The sequence below is a fragment of the Homo sapiens genome, chromosome 16 (assembly GCF_000001405.40).
Source record: "Homo sapiens chromosome 16, GRCh38.p14 Primary Assembly".
In the NCBI taxonomy this organism is placed as follows: Eukaryota; Metazoa; Chordata; class Mammalia; order Primates; family Hominidae; genus Homo; species Homo sapiens.
In genome coordinates this window covers 19,255,694-19,271,006 of record NC_000016.10, presented here as the reverse complement: position 1 = coordinate 19,271,006, position 15,313 = coordinate 19,255,694, and the positions used below count along the sequence as shown (strand labels likewise).

The following is a 15,313-nucleotide window of genomic DNA, read 5'->3' as shown; positions in this document are numbered from 1 at the left end:
TAGCTGGGATTACTAGCATGTGCCACCATGCCTGGATAATTTTTTGTATTTTTAGTAAAGTTGGGTTTCACCATGTTGGCCAGGCTGGTCTCGAACTCCTGACCTCAAGTGATCTTCCTGCCTTGGCCTCCCAAAATGCTGGGATTACAGGCATGAGCCATTGTGCCTGGCCAAATTTCCTCTTCTTATAAGGACTCCAGTCATATCAGATGAGGGCTCACCTCATGACCTCACTTCAACCTGATCACCTTTGTAAAGACCCTCTCTCCAAATAAGGCCACAGTCTCAGGTTAGGACTCCAGCAAATCACCAACCCATAACAGGGTAGGCAGCTGGGCCTGGGCTGGCTTTTTATCTCTATTGCAGTTACCTGACACTTAAACTTATTAAATCTTGACTTCCAGCTGGGCGCAGTGGCTCATGCCTGTAATTTCAGCACTTATGGGAGGCCGAGGCAGAAGGATCACTTGAGCCCAGCAATTCAAGGCCAGCCTGTACAATATAATGAGAGCTCATCGCTACAAAAAAATTAAGAAGTTAGCCAGGCCTATGATCCCAGCTACTTGGGGGGCTGAGGTGGGAGGATTGCTTGAGCCCAGTGCTGTGAGCCGTGATACCACCACTGCACTCCAACCTGGGAGACGGAGCAATTTTTTGCCTCAAAAAAAAAAAAAAAAAAAATCTTGGCCTCCCCATTTGTAAAAGGAGATTAACATCTCTTCTACACCCCTGAAGGTTGCTGCATGAGGCTTAAATGTGATGTTTGGCACCTCGTGTGGTGCTAGTCAGCCCTCTTGTTATTACTAATGAAGGTGTCTAATGCTGGGGATGCCCTGCCTCATATCCCTCAGTCCACCTGGCTCCCCTGTGGCTATAGGGAGCTGTGTTGTGCACATACACAGCTGACCTCATCAAGCACATGTGCCTCTTCCTCTGCCCAGAGATTTCTCTGGTGTTATGGGAGCTTATACAGACCACACTGGACAATTCTGAAGTGCCAAACATTTAATGCTTTCAGGGCAGCCCTCAAGCCATGAGGAGGGACAAGCGTCAGTAATTAAATACTCCAGCTTCTGCATAATGATAATTCTTTAGTGTTTTCTACAGGGGTCCTCAGTATGACTGAGCTCACAGTACTAATTCATGAAGACTTTTGCTTTTCTCCTTCCCCTTATTCTTCACTTATGCTTTCTGGGGTCGTCTGCACCCAAGTCCTCATGTCAAGGTCTGTTTTTGAGGCACCCTAAGACAACGAGGAAATTGAGGCTTAGAAGACTTACGTGGTTTGTGCCCCAGTACACAGTTAAGGAGTGGTGGTCCTGGGATTTGAACTATGGTTTCTTGGGCCCAAAGCCCTTGGGCCTCATCACCAATGACTCCACCTCTAGTTCTAAGTGCTTATTACGTACCTGTCTTCACTCATTTTGTTTGTTCTTTTATGCTTTTATCTTCTACTGTAAACCACAGTAATGAAGCCATTTCATAGAGAAGGAAAACACTTCTCCTTTTCTGAGAACTTAACTGATATGGTTTGGATGTTGTTTCCCCCTCCAGATCTCATGTTGAAATGTGATCTCCAATGTTGGAGGTGGGGCCTGGTGGAAGGTATTTGGGTAATGGGGGTGGATCCCTCATGAACGGCTTGGTGATGAGTGAGTTCTCACTCTATTAGAGCTGGTTGTTTAAATGAGCCTGGCACCTCCTTCTCTTCCTCTCTCACTTCCTCTCTTGCCATGTGACACGCCTGTTCACCCTTTGCCCTCTACCATGATTGTAAGCTTCCTGAGGCCTCAACAGAAGCCACACAGATGCCAGCACTGTGCTTCCTGTATAGCCTGCAGAACCATGAGCCAAATAAACCTCTTTATAAGTTACCCAGTTTCAGGTACTCCTTTACAGCAATGCAAAATGGATGAATACATCAACCTAACCCAGCCTCCCTGTTTCTCCCCCTTGACCTCCACAACACTTCCACTCCAGAATGGGAGACACCATGAGGTTCTCTCTGCAATACCCAATGTAGCCTGAGGGGTGAAGCCATTTTAGCCCATGGAGCAGTTACCTGGGTCATGCCCTTAGCAGGGCTTGGCCAACAAAATGCTAAATAAGCCGTGAATCTTGCCCTGAGGAAGTGAAAAGTTTTATATAGAAGAGCAACACTGGAATAATTGGCATTAGTACACTGCTCAAGTCAGACAGACATATTGCAAATACTCAACATTCTTGACCCCCAAAATCTATCAGTATAATAAATATCATTGTTTTGAAGCTGGGTGCAGTGGCTCATGCCTGTAATTCCAGCACTTTGGGAGGCTGAGGCTGAGGCAGGTGGATCACTTGAGGCCAGGAGTTCAATTCCAGCCTGGCCAACATGGTGAAACTCTGTCTCTACTAAAAATACAAAAATTAGCCAGGGGTGGTGGTGCACACCTGTAATCCCAGCCACTCGGGAGGCTGAGGCAGGAGAATTGCTTGAATGCAGGAGGCAGAGGTTGCAGTGAGCAGAGACTGCACCACTACCCTCCAGCCTGGACAACAGAGTGAGACTTTGTCTCAAAAAAAAAAAAATCATTGTTTTGACTTGTTCAGTATGGTTTGTTACACAGCAGTACTAGCTGCAATGCCCTCCCACCTTCTATGTCCTGTGTTCATGAAGAAAAAGATAACTCGAATGCATGGCACAAATAAATAATCTTTAATTTCAATAAATAGCTCCCCATCACACCAGACATTATGCTGTGGAAAAAGATACAGAAGCATCCAACAGAGAGAGAGGAAAGAGAGAGAGAGAAAGAGAGAGAGAGAGAGATCTATTCTAACTACACTAATTCCTTAGCACGAGAGACGTGACATTCGTTCACAGAAAAACACAGAAAGATCCTCAGAGTATGATTAAGGAAGAAGATCATCATGGATGGGGTGTGATAGCCATTTTAATCCATATATCAAGTCTTTGTATGTCTTTCGTGGGTCACAATCACCATGATTCGGTCAAAAAATGTTACTTTTGCTCTATCATATCCTATTTACTTTACACACACACACACACACACACACACACACACACACTACTTTTATCCAAAGTGGGATCTCTGACAGACAGGAGGACACTGGTTGGACTCTCACTGGACAGGAGAGGCAGAGAGAAGGCAGTGCTCAGGGCTGAGGTCCTGGCCCATCGCCATGCTCTCCAAGAGGACACATAGGCACACACGTGTTCGCCTGTGAGGGCACATGCACGAGGACATACACATACATACCCACAGGGCGTTCCCTGGGATGAGCTAACACAAGAACAATTCTGTTAAGCCAGGAAAGGCTTCTGACACTGGAATAGTTTTGGTTGCCATTTGGTTTCTCCAAATGGCCCATAATCTAGTTATCACATTTACTACGGAGAAGACAAAGATACTTACACCTTTGGAGAAAGGTATCAGGTTTGAAGAACCCCAGGGAACAGCAGCCTGTTCAGAAGTTACCCAGTAGGTGTGTGTTTCGGAAGTGGGGGGTGTTCAAGTCTCCCACACACTGGCCAAACTCTTGGTAAATTTAGTCTTGATGGAGCTTGGCACCCTTTGGGAGGTCCTTTCTCTGGCCTGAGGGTTGAAAGTGCATTTTGGGGCAGGAGTATTGACAAGAGCAGGCACTGCCAATAAGTCCCACGGCAGAGCCCACTGAGCTTGTGATCTATGGATGGGGCTTCCGGAAAGTTCCTAGGCCTCACTCAACTGAGGGCGGCCATTTTGTGATCAATAGTCAGCTTCCTCTCAGTTCTGAGAGGATTTGGGGTATCTGTGTGTCTGTGTGTGTGGACGTGTGTAGACATGTTGCGAGTGTGTATGCAGGTGTGGATGTAATAGTATGTGACACATTTTTTTCCGTCTTTTTTTTTTTTTTTTAAACAAATGAAAGCTGCCTTCCCTGCAGCCCTCAGGTCACCTCCAGGGAGGCAGGAGACACGCGGTCACACTCAGCTCGGGACCTCAGGCTATGCCACTGCTCCACGGCTGTGCGGTGCGTGTTGAGCATGCGCCTCCAGTGGTTGGTCTCAGAGGGGCCTGAAGAGTACTGGCCAATGACGATCCTCCCGATGAAGTCATTGCTGCTCTTCATGTTGTGGCCGAAAACTAGGGAGCCAGAGGGTTGAGGGCAGGAGGGAGGCAAGAGGAAGGAGGGGAACAGAACAGGAAGGCAGGGAGAAGACAAGAGGCCATTAGTCTACACATTTGTCAACTGCAAACATGGGGGTCATCGTTTAGGGCACGCTGTCTTTTTCCTTTTCTTGGTGAGAAGTCCAACTCCCTCATCTCATCCTCCTGTGAGTCTCTGCAACAGCTGCACCTGGTTTCCTGCCATCCCATGCCAGCCAGATTCTTACCTCTCAGCCTTGGCATTGGCTGTTCCTTCTGCCAGACAGCTGCACCGCCTGCAATATGCAGCCTTAAACGTATGTCCCACGGCATCACCACACTGCATATAGAGCTCTGTAAGTGGATAGTTCTAGTGGAACAGTGAGCCTGTCAATGTAGTCCAGTTGAGCGATTAAACCAGGGTTTCTCAATCATGGAACTGTTGACATTATGGGCGGGATAATCCTTTGCCGTAACTGTCCTGTGGACTGTAGGAAGTTTAGCAGCATCCCGGGTACCTACGTACTAGAAGCTGGTAGCAGCTCTCTCTACAGCTGTGACAACCCCAAATGTCTTCGGACATGGCCAAATGGCCCCTGCGGAGGCCAATGCATCCCAAACGGGAACCACTAGGTTAAGCCATGGGCCATGGGACCAAATATCCTGGGAGTGAATCCTGGCTCTATCATTTGACCAAGCTCTGTGTCTCTGAGGCAGGCGAAGTAACCTCTCTGAGCCTCAGTTTCTTTATTAGTTAAACAGGAATTTTAGTAGTGCTTCTCTCATAGGTCAATGTGCAATTTCTATGAAATAATGTGTGTAAAGCTCTCAGCACACAGTGCCAAGCAGGTGGTAAGAGCTCAACAAATGTTATACTGCTATTTTGAGCCTAAATTTCTGTCTGTTGACCTTTTATAAAAGAGACTTCATGTTTCCTCTGTTCCATCAAATGCTGGAAATTTTCTGAGAGTAATGGCTACGGCAACTTCTTCCACCCCTTGTTGTGCTGCATGTCTCTTTGAAAGGCTTCTCTGTTAATCCCAACTTCAGCTTAATTTGTGTCTTTCAAGCCTAATGAGACGGTTAACTTGATTTATCTTCCCGGCCAAGTTCCGCCTAATTCTTGATCTGTGTGTGGGTAGTCCAGGCATGCCATCTCACTAATGGGAAAGCAGGCTATGCCTGTGTTATAAATGAAGGGCTACAGAATGGGAAATATCACAGATTCACCCAGCGTGAGCCGAGCAAAGGCAGGCTAGATCCCAGGAGGGATGCTGAATATCATATAAAGCAACTAAAATATGCTGCCAAAAACAGAGCTTGAATGCTAATGAGCCTCTGTTCTCCCCTGTGGGTTTCACACCACGAATTCCAAATGATGAAAATGAGGGAGAAAAAAGAAAAATGGAAAAATAAAAACAAAAACTCCATCCATCGTCCAAAAGCCAAAAAGACTTAGGGAAAACTAGGCTACGTGAAATACTATGTCATCTTCAGCAAGAGGGATGGGTACCTGTCAGCTCTGTGGAGAAAAATTGGACCATGTATATTTTTTGTACATTTGGTAACATGCTCAGTATGCATAGGTGGACCTCATTTACATGCAAATTACTTACAAAGAGAAATAATAGGAATGGAAGCTTTGCTTAATAAATGAAATTGCTAAGGAGCTCTCTGCATTTGAAAAAATAATTGAACAGGTAACACTCAAGGCTTTTAGGAATGACACTTAGTGGGCAGTGTAAGGTTTGATCTCACCAAATGAGGACAAGTTACCAGAGTCCCCTTCCCTGTGAGCCTCAAATCTAAAATAAGATACTATTATGAGACCACTTCAGGCCCCATTTAGTTTTCTTCTTTGGGGGCAAAATGTTCTATCTTCTTCTTCCTCTCCAAAGCTCAAGAATGACAATGCAGAAACTTCCCTTCTAAATGGGTATGGGTTCTACTTCTTTGTGAAAGGGCTTTAAGAAAGGAAATTCTGACTGGGCACGGTGGCTCGCATCTGTAATCCCAGCACTTTGGGAGGCTGAGGCAGGTGGATCGCTTGAGCCCAGGAGTCTGAGACTAGTCTGGGCAACATGGAAAAACCCTGCCTTTACTAAAAAATACAAAAAATCAGCCAGACATAGTGGTGTGTGCCTGTAGTCCCAGCTACTCAGGAGGCTGAGGTGGGAGGATCACCTGAGTCCAGGGAAGTCAAGGCTGCAGTGATGGTGCCACTGCACTGGCTCTAGCCTGGGTAGCAAAGTGACCTTGCTTGTCTCAAAAAAAAAAAAAGGTGGGGGAAATCTCAGTCTCACGTACTCTCATGTGCCGCTGGTGGAAAAGCAAGTTGGTTCAAATTTTGGGGTGGTTCACAGCATCTGTTCAAAATAAATATGTCATAACTCATGACTCAGCAATTTCACTTCTAGGAATTGATCCCATAGAATTTTCTGCACAAATGGACAAAAATACACATACAAGGATATTTTATATAGCAGGAATGGGCAAACTAGAGCCTCCCAGTCAAATATGGACTACTACCTGTTTTTGTAAATAAAGTTTTATTGGAACACAGTCAAACCCATTTGTTTACATAATGCTGCTTTTGTGCAAAAAGGGCAGAGTTGATGTCTTAGTCCATTCAGGCCGCTGTAACAAAATGCCATAAACTGGGTGGCTTATAAACAACAAAAACTTATTGCTCACAGTTCTGGAGGCTGGGAAGTTCAAGATCAAGCCACTGGCAAATTCGGTGTCTGGTGAGAAGCTGCTTCCTCATAGGTGGTATCTTCTCACTGAGTCCCCACATGGTGGAAGGGACAGGCTAGTTCTCTGGGGCATCTTCTATAAGGGCACTAATCCCAATTATGAGGGCTCCAACCTTCATGACCTAATCATCTCCCAAAGGTCCCGCCTCCTAATGCCATCACTTTGTGGGTTAGGAATTCAACATACAAATTTGGCAGGGTGGGGGACAACTATTCAGACCACAGCAGCTGAATAATTTGGAGGCCATGTGGCTCTCAAAGCCTCACATATCTGCTATCTGTCTGGTTCATCCATGTTGTAGTGCTACTTTTTATGGCCAGCTAACGTTCCATTGTATGGATATGCCATGTTTTGCTTATCTGTTCATCAGATGATGGACATTTGGGTTGTTTCCACATTTTGACTATTATTATGGATAATGCTACTGTAAACATTTATGTCCAAGTTTTTTTTTTCTTTTCTTTTTTTTTTTTTTTTTTGAGTTGTAATTTCACTGTTGTCACCCAGGCTGGGATGCAGTGGCGTGATCTCGGCTCACTGCAACCTCTGCCTCCCGGGCTCAAGTGATTCTCCTGCCTCAGACTCCCAAGTAGCTGGGTACAGGTGCCCACCACCATGCCTGGCTAATTTTTGTATTTTTAGTAGAGACAGGGTTTTGCCACATTGGGCAGGCTGGTCTTGAACTCCTGACCTCAGGTGATCTGCCCACCTCGGCCTTCCAAAATGCTGGGATTACAGGCATAAGTCACCATGGCTGGCCTATGTACCAAGTTTTTAAGGTCATATATTATGATCCATTTATATGAAATGTCCAGAATAGGCAGATCTTTAGAGACAGAAATTACCATTAGTGGTTATCAAGGATAGAGGAAAGAGGGAATGGGGTGTGATAGCTAATTGGCACAGGGCTCCTTTTTGGGGTGATAAAAATGTTCTGGAATTAGATAGTGGTGTTGGTTGCACAATCTTGAAAATATACTAAAAAGCACTGAATCGTATACACCAAAAGGGTGAGTTTTAAGTTATGTGAATTTTATCTCAATTAAACAAATTGCCAAAAGGGAATACAAAAAAAAAAAAAAGATTATCTGACTCCTTATAGAAAAGTTTGCTGACCCCTGCACCAGGGCATTGTTTATAAGAATGAAAAACGGGAAATGGCAAGACTGTCCCTGAGGGAGTGTAGCTGGGGCTGTTGGTGCCCTGCCTACCCCTCAGCCCACCTTGGAGGCTACTCATGGTTTCTATAGATAGTGTCCTTCCTCAAGCACCTGCAGCTTCCTGCCTGAGCCATGCCAGCTTGTCTGTGCTAACTGTGATTTATGGTGAGGACCTTGGGCCACTCAACATTAGCTGGACCTCTGCAAGCTACCTCTGCAAGGAGGCTCAGCTACCCAGATGGTCAGCCATGACTATATGACCAACGTCCTCTAACTATGCTGGACACCAAGGCTCAGGTGAGTCTTCTTGGGTGGCAATACCCTAAGTGTGTTGTCACACATCCTTGCAAGGAGAATTAGGCACTGCTCGTATAACTCCAGTTGAGGAGAACAACTGGAAGCTTGCATCTGGTCTCTCTTGGACTTTTTCCTATGACAAAGAGGACTCTTTCCCCTTTCTTAGTCTGCTGGGCTGCTATAACAAATTACCATAAACAGGGAGGCTTATAAACAACAGGAATTTATTTCCTAATGGTTCCAGAAGCTAGGAAGTCCCAGATCAAGGTACCAGCAGATTCAGTGTCTGGTGAGGGCTTGCTCTCCTTCATAGGTGGTGCCTTCTCATGCAATAGAAGCAGCAAGACAGTTCTCTTGGGTTTCTGTTATAAGGGCACCAACCCCATTCATGAGGACAGAGCCTTCATGGTCTAATCACCTCCCACATGGGGATTAGGATTCAACATAAGAATTTTGGGGGAACAAAACATTCAGACCATAGCAGCAATCTTTCACTTTGCTGATTTTGGTCTGTATGCTTTTTCTGTAATAAACTGTAACCATGAGAATAACAGTTTTTCCAAGTTCTGTGGTGAATCATTGGACCTGAGGGTGATTTTGAAGACCCCCTATACTGCAGATATCCACTCGCCAAACATCCTTGATTTGTTTTCCTCCTTTTCCTGTCTTATTTGCCATTCCCTTATTCAAGCTTCCTGAGGTCACCTCCTAGTAGCCTACTTGAGCTCATGTCACTAAGTTTGTCTTTGGGAGGTACCTAGAATAAGACTGGAGGAAATGAATTAAATAACTTCTGAGATAATAATACCACGGAAATCCATGTTGCCATTAAAAATGAGACAGACTTATCTATATGAAATGGAAAAATCTCCAACACATATTGCTAGGAGACAAAAGCACATTACAAAACAGTATATGTAAGCACAATCTTTTTGTTAAAAAGAATGTTAATATACCTGAAGAAAACAATATGGATGTTCACCACTGTTCAGAGTGGCTCTCTCTGGGAAGGGGGAAACAGAGGAAAATGTCCACTTTCTGTATCAATAAGTATGTACAGTTTGAACTTCTTACAGAAAGTACATATTATTTTGGAAAGAAAACAAAGGAAAAATAAGTCACTGTTAGAGAATCCACAACTAAATCACCAGAAAGGATGAAAACTAAAAGGAAGTCTAATATCCTATGCTCCTCATCCCAATTTGTAAAGTAACTTGGCTGGTGAATCACTTGGCCCTTGAAAGGTGGGAGCGCTTGAGTGATTCAGCCTTTCTGATGGGAGGCAGTTCCTGCCATGGCCATCTGAGTTAATTAGCAGGCAGTGTAAATTGCAAATCACTTGGTAAAGTTATGGCAATCTTAACAGTCTTAAAAAAATTTAAAATGCAAATTATAATAAAGTGAAGCTGAAGATAAGTAATAACTTCTATTAGAAAGTTGCCTGGGAGAATATCAAGATTGCCATCACTGTAAATTCTAAGTGTGTTGGAGAAAATAGAGAATTAAAACTAGACATGTCAGGGGCCAGGTGCAGTGGCTCACACCTGTAATCCCAGCACTTTGGGAGGTCAAGGTGGGAGGATCTCTTGAGCCCAGGAGTTCGAGACCAGCTTGGGCAACATAGTAAGACTCTCTTTCTACAATTTTTTTTTAAAGACTAGACATGTGGAATCCAGAAAGGGGCTTAGGGACAGTGGGTCAGATAACCCAGCCCTCTCCATGTTATAGGTAAGGAAACCAAGTCACATAGCTAATTGGTGATAAAATTTGCAGTATTTGAATAACCTGTGAATGAAGCCAATTCCTTATAACCACATTCCTAAATTCCTTCTCTTTAGAAACATCCATAACTAAAAATTTTGTTGTAAAGTACCTCCACCAAATATTTCTACTGATGGTTATGGGGGACTCTTTTAAATGTAGTCACTAATATATTTCTGGATATTGTAAGCCAAAAATACAATTCTAAGCCCCCTAACCATCTGAATGGGCCCCTCCTCTTGGTCAAGGGCATTCCAAAGGTGACCTGAAAAGCTAGTTCAGGCTGTGGTGGGAAGGGGAAGTCAGACATGCCAACATTAACATGAAGACAGATCTTAAGACTGATAGAACGAATTCTTTTTTTTTTCTTTCCTTTTTTTTTTTTTTTTTTTTTTTTTGAGACAAGGTCTCTCTCTGTTACCCAGGTGCAGTGGCATGATCTCAGGTCACTGCAACTTCTGCCTCCCAGGCTCAAGTGATCCTCCTACCTCAGCTTCCCAACTAGCTGGGACCACAGGTGCACACCACTATGCCTGGCTTTTTTTTTTTTTTTTTTTTTTTTTTTGGTATTTTCTGTAGAGATGGGGTTTCACCATGTTGCTCAGGCTGGTCTCTAACTCCTGAGCTCAAGTGATCTTCCCGCCTTGGCCTCTCAAAGTGTCGGGATTACAGGTGTGAGCCATTGCGCCCAGCCAGAAGAGACTCTTTAAATCTGGTAAGAAACACTTACCATCTATTCTCTCTGAAGCCTGCTATCTAGAGGCTTTATCTGCATGATAAAACCTTGGTGTCCACAAACCTTTATTGTAATTTAGACATTGATTTCAGGTCTTTAGATAATAACCAATTGCCAGTCTTTGAATCCACCTAAGACCTGGAAGTCACCCCACACACTCCCCAGTCCCTGTTTCCAGCTGTCCCATCTTTCTGGACTGAACCAATGTACCTCTTACATGTATGGATTGATGTCTTATGTCTCCCTAAAATGTATAAAACCAAGCTGTAGCCTGACCACCTTGGGCGCATGTCCTCTGGACCTCCTGAGGCTGTTTCATGCACAGGTCCGTAACCTTGGAAAATAAACTCCCAAACTGATTGCGACTTGTCTCAGACACTTTTTGGTTTACAAAATGTACACACTCTAAGTGTACCCTAGTCATCTGGAAGCAATTTCTCAACAACCTGTATAATATGGAGTGTGGCAAGAAAAAAAAAAAAATCAAAACATTCAGAATTGATGTCACAAGTCTATGTACAAAATCCATGAAGAGGGCTTTCTCTAAGAACCTATTTAATGCTCATGGATTTAGACATAATTCAAATAAACTCAGTCATCTGGTTTTCCCATCTGGAGTAACTTAATATAGTGGATTGTGAGTACCAGACAGATACAAGAACTCAAAAAACTACAATAGAATGGAACCATTTGGTGAAGAGGCAAATAACATTTTCCTCCTTCACAGGGCTGGCGGCTATTTGCAGTGTGATCATTTATTTTTATAATTATGATCATGAATCCATTAGGATGCCTGCTGAATGGATCAAAGGAAGTATGGGAATTTTGGTAGCAAACACAGTTAAAAAATGTTAAGCCTTGTTTAAAACTTATGGGGAAAGGGATCAGTAAGTGGAAACTTTACTCTCACAAAATGCTTTTAGTTCTCCTCCTCCAATGACTATAGAGTAACACCTTGCACGGTACCTTGCTCTAATGTTTTCTCTTCTGATTTCGCTTAATCTCCAGCACCCTAAGGCTACCCTCTGGGGACAGGCAAGTACCCAGAAGTCCAGTTCCCTTCTTCAGACAATGCATGGACACACCCTGCCTATTCCACTTTTAGGAATTTGAGACCCAACTTACCTGTAGAGTTATCAACATATCTATTTCCACCGTATCATAGCAATTCAAGTTGGGGAAACACAACCAGGAAACAAAAGTGTGGTAGGAGGCATCCACCAGGGCTCAAAGATCAGGCTTTGAAGGAGCCTGGGATAAAGATCAGTTTATTAAGCACCTACTGTGTATTAGGGCCAGGGCTAAGGACGTCAGTGGATTGACTCATTTAATCATCACATCAAGCCTCCAGAGCAGGGTTTCTCACCCTTGATACTGCTGACATTATGGGCCAGATCATTCTGTGTTTTGCGGTGCTGTCCTAGGCACTCTAAAATGCTTGGTAGCTCCTATCATCTCACACTAAATATCAGTAGCAATTCCTCCATCTCCCCTGTTTCTGTTATTTTATTTTATTTTATTTTTGAGATGGAGTCTTGCTCTGTCGCCCAGGCTGGAGTGCAGTGGTATGATCTCAGCTCACTGCAACCTCCGCCTCCCGGGTTGAAGTGATTCTCCTGCCTCAGCCTCCTGAGTAGCTGGGACTACAGGTATGCACCACCATGCCTGGCTAATTTTTGTGTTTTTTAGTAGAGACGGGGTTTCACCATGTTGGCCAGGCTGGTCTCGAACACCTGACCTCAGGTGATTCGCCTGCCTCAGCCTCCTGATGTGCTGGGGTTACAGACGTGAGCCACCGTGCCTGGCCTCCTCTATCTCCCTTGTGACTGCCAAAAGTATCTCTAGACATTGCCAGATGTACCCTGGGGACACAATTGCCACCCTTCCCGCCCCCCACCTCCCACATTTGAGAAGTGCTTTAAGGCAGTTGCTTTCACTGGCTCATTTTACAGCTGAGAAGAGTGAGTTCTAGAGGGTGAAGGGAGATCACTCACTGCTCCAGTCAAAACCTAAGTACCCTGAAGGAGTCAGGGACAAACTGAGGCTTTCACCTGTTGATATTTGCTGTAAAAACGAATTTGTTCCTCACCATAGGAGCTAAATTATTTGGTCGCTAATTTAGTTTGCCAAGGCAGACGGTTCTGGAAGGGAAGCTGGATGACTTAGAATGTGGGTGTAATAAACACTGCAAATTAAAAGGAAAAAAAAAAAACATCTTTACCAATGGGAGCAGACTCAACAGCTTCTCATTTTGCATATTTGGTTCACAAGGTAATGAAGGACTCTCATTTGTGCCCTAGGCTCTCACTGCTCCCATATGCAACTCTGAGTCTGACAGCACAGTGCAGGGACACCCCCAGATTATGGCTGGCACCCCGAAACCTCATCACTGTACCCGGCGATCTACCTCTTTGATGCTGGGTTAAGATGTTCCCCTGTTCCTGAAAAGAAAAAATGCACAAAGCCAGCAAGACCACCCTGGGCTGTTTCATAGTCCTGCCTACTTCCTCATGGCCGAGAGGTCCCCACAGCCCATCATCAGGGTGTTCATGAGTTAGCTTAACTGTTGGAGGAGACATAACGCAGTCTACACAGGCCTGCTTCTTCCCCTTTTCTTTCTTCCTACAGGGCAGCTCTGACACACTGCAACGCAGGTGGTCCTCATTGTCTTTCCAACTTTTGCAAAACCTCTTCTCACTGGAGCACTCTCTTTTTTTTCTTCTTTCAGAAACCTAGAAGCTTTTTCAGGTTTTTCTTTTTTTTTTTTTTGCAAAACAAGGTACATCATATCCCTTCCCTGGGCCTCAGTTTCCCCCTTTATACAATGAGCGGGTATATGTAGATTTTGAGTTCTTTTTTAGCTATGACATTTCTTTGGTTCTAAGAAGTTTCATCCATGACTTAAGGGTGATGTTTTTCAAGCTTTTCTGGCTCACTTCGTGATTCACAGCAGCTGCTGGGACAGAACTTTTTTTTCATGTTTTTCCTTCCAACAGTCATAATGACGATTCAGTTAACTTTATTATAATAATTAAAAATCAGTAACAGCAAATCTTGAGGTCTGTGTACTACGAACTGAGAAAAGCACTTTATATATGTTGTTGTTTTTCTTTTTTAAACTTAAATCCATATCACAGCCCTATTTTTATTGCCATTTTGCAGATGGGGAATTTGAGGCTCGGAGAAGTTAAGAGGTTGAGTGCTCAAAGCCACCCAGCCAGCACGAGGCATAGTAGAAATTGAAACTCAAAGTCCAGCCTAATTTCTTCCTTTATCTCAAAAAGAAGAGGCCAAGCACAGTGGCTTATGCCTGTAATCCCAGCACTTCGAGAGGCCAAGGTGGGAGGATCGCTTGAGCCCAGGAATTCAAGACCAGCCTGGGTTACATAATGAGACTGTCTCTATAAAAAAATTTAAAAAGTAGCTGGGCATGTTGGTGCACGCCTGTGGTCCCAGCTACTTGGGAGGCTGAGGCGGGAGGACTGCTTGAGCCCCGGAGGTTGAGATTGCAGTGAGGCATGATCATACCACTGCACTCCAGCCTGGTCGAAAGAGTAAGACCCTGCCTCAATAATAATAATAATAATAATAATAATAATAATAATAATAGACTCACCCATTTCCTACTTCCCTTGACCCTCTCCTGTGATAAGGGCCAGATTGGGTAATAGAGATGTATGGTACGTGTGTGTGTGTGTGTGTGTGTGTGTGTGTGTGTGTGTGTGTGTTTGAAGAGGGGTTAAAACCTCAACCAGCATATAAGGGAAAAGGCCAACAGTCAGAATGGCCCTGGAAAGTCCCGTGAAAATCCTCATAAAGGCGCCATGTTGAGGCCCTTCTCGCCATCTCTCTAGGGTCCAGCATGGTCAGGATTGGCTCTGACTTTTGAATGAGTGGCTCCCTGTTCAGTCAAGCAGCAGATAAGGAGGGAAGATGTCCTATATTAAAGACTGTTGCTATGAAAAATACAATGATAGCACCCAACAGTTCTATAGTGCTTATCACATACCAGCCCTGTCCTGTGGATTTCAGTACACAAATTTAATCCGCACAACAAATCTATGAGGTTTGTACTATGATTACCTCTATTTTATTATTTCCTTGAGCCTAGAGGGCACACACTGATAGCATGATGCATCGTCCTGGGGACTGACCTAGACCAGCCTTGAGCAGATCCTGGAAATAGGCTTGGGCTGTTTGGGTGGGAAATTCTGGGATCCCAGTATGTGGAGATGATCTAGCAAGGAAGATGTGGGCTCCTTGATGCCTGGACTCCTCACTCCATGAATTTCTTGCCTCCTCCCATTTACAGCATGAGGCCCAAGGTAGAAGCCCTCTTTGTCGTGGTCTGCAGGCAATATTGGCTTAGAACGAATTATTTAATTTTTATTTTAAGAGAGTACAGTGGAGTGCAGTGGCGTGGCATGATTATAGCTCACTGCAGCCTCAACCTCCTGGGCTCAAGTGATCCT

The 15,313-nt window shown here is 44.3% G+C and overlaps 1 protein-coding gene across 12 annotated transcripts in view; it reads right to left on the bottom strand.

The window, feature by feature from the left end:
• Positions 1–2,674: 2,674 nt before the first annotated feature.
• The window catches only part of SYT17 (synaptotagmin 17), a 100,499-nt gene continuing 87,860 nt past the window's right edge, over positions 2,675–15,313 (bottom strand). For all 12 annotated transcript variants that reach the window (XM_047434203.1, XM_047434206.1, NM_001330509.2 and 9 more), the window contains one exon: positions 2,675–4,127. In XM_047434203.1, the coding sequence (XP_047290159.1) occupies positions 3,931–4,127 (197 nt within the window). In that variant the 3' untranslated portion in view covers positions 2,675–3,930. The remainder of the gene's footprint in view (positions 4,128–15,313) is intronic.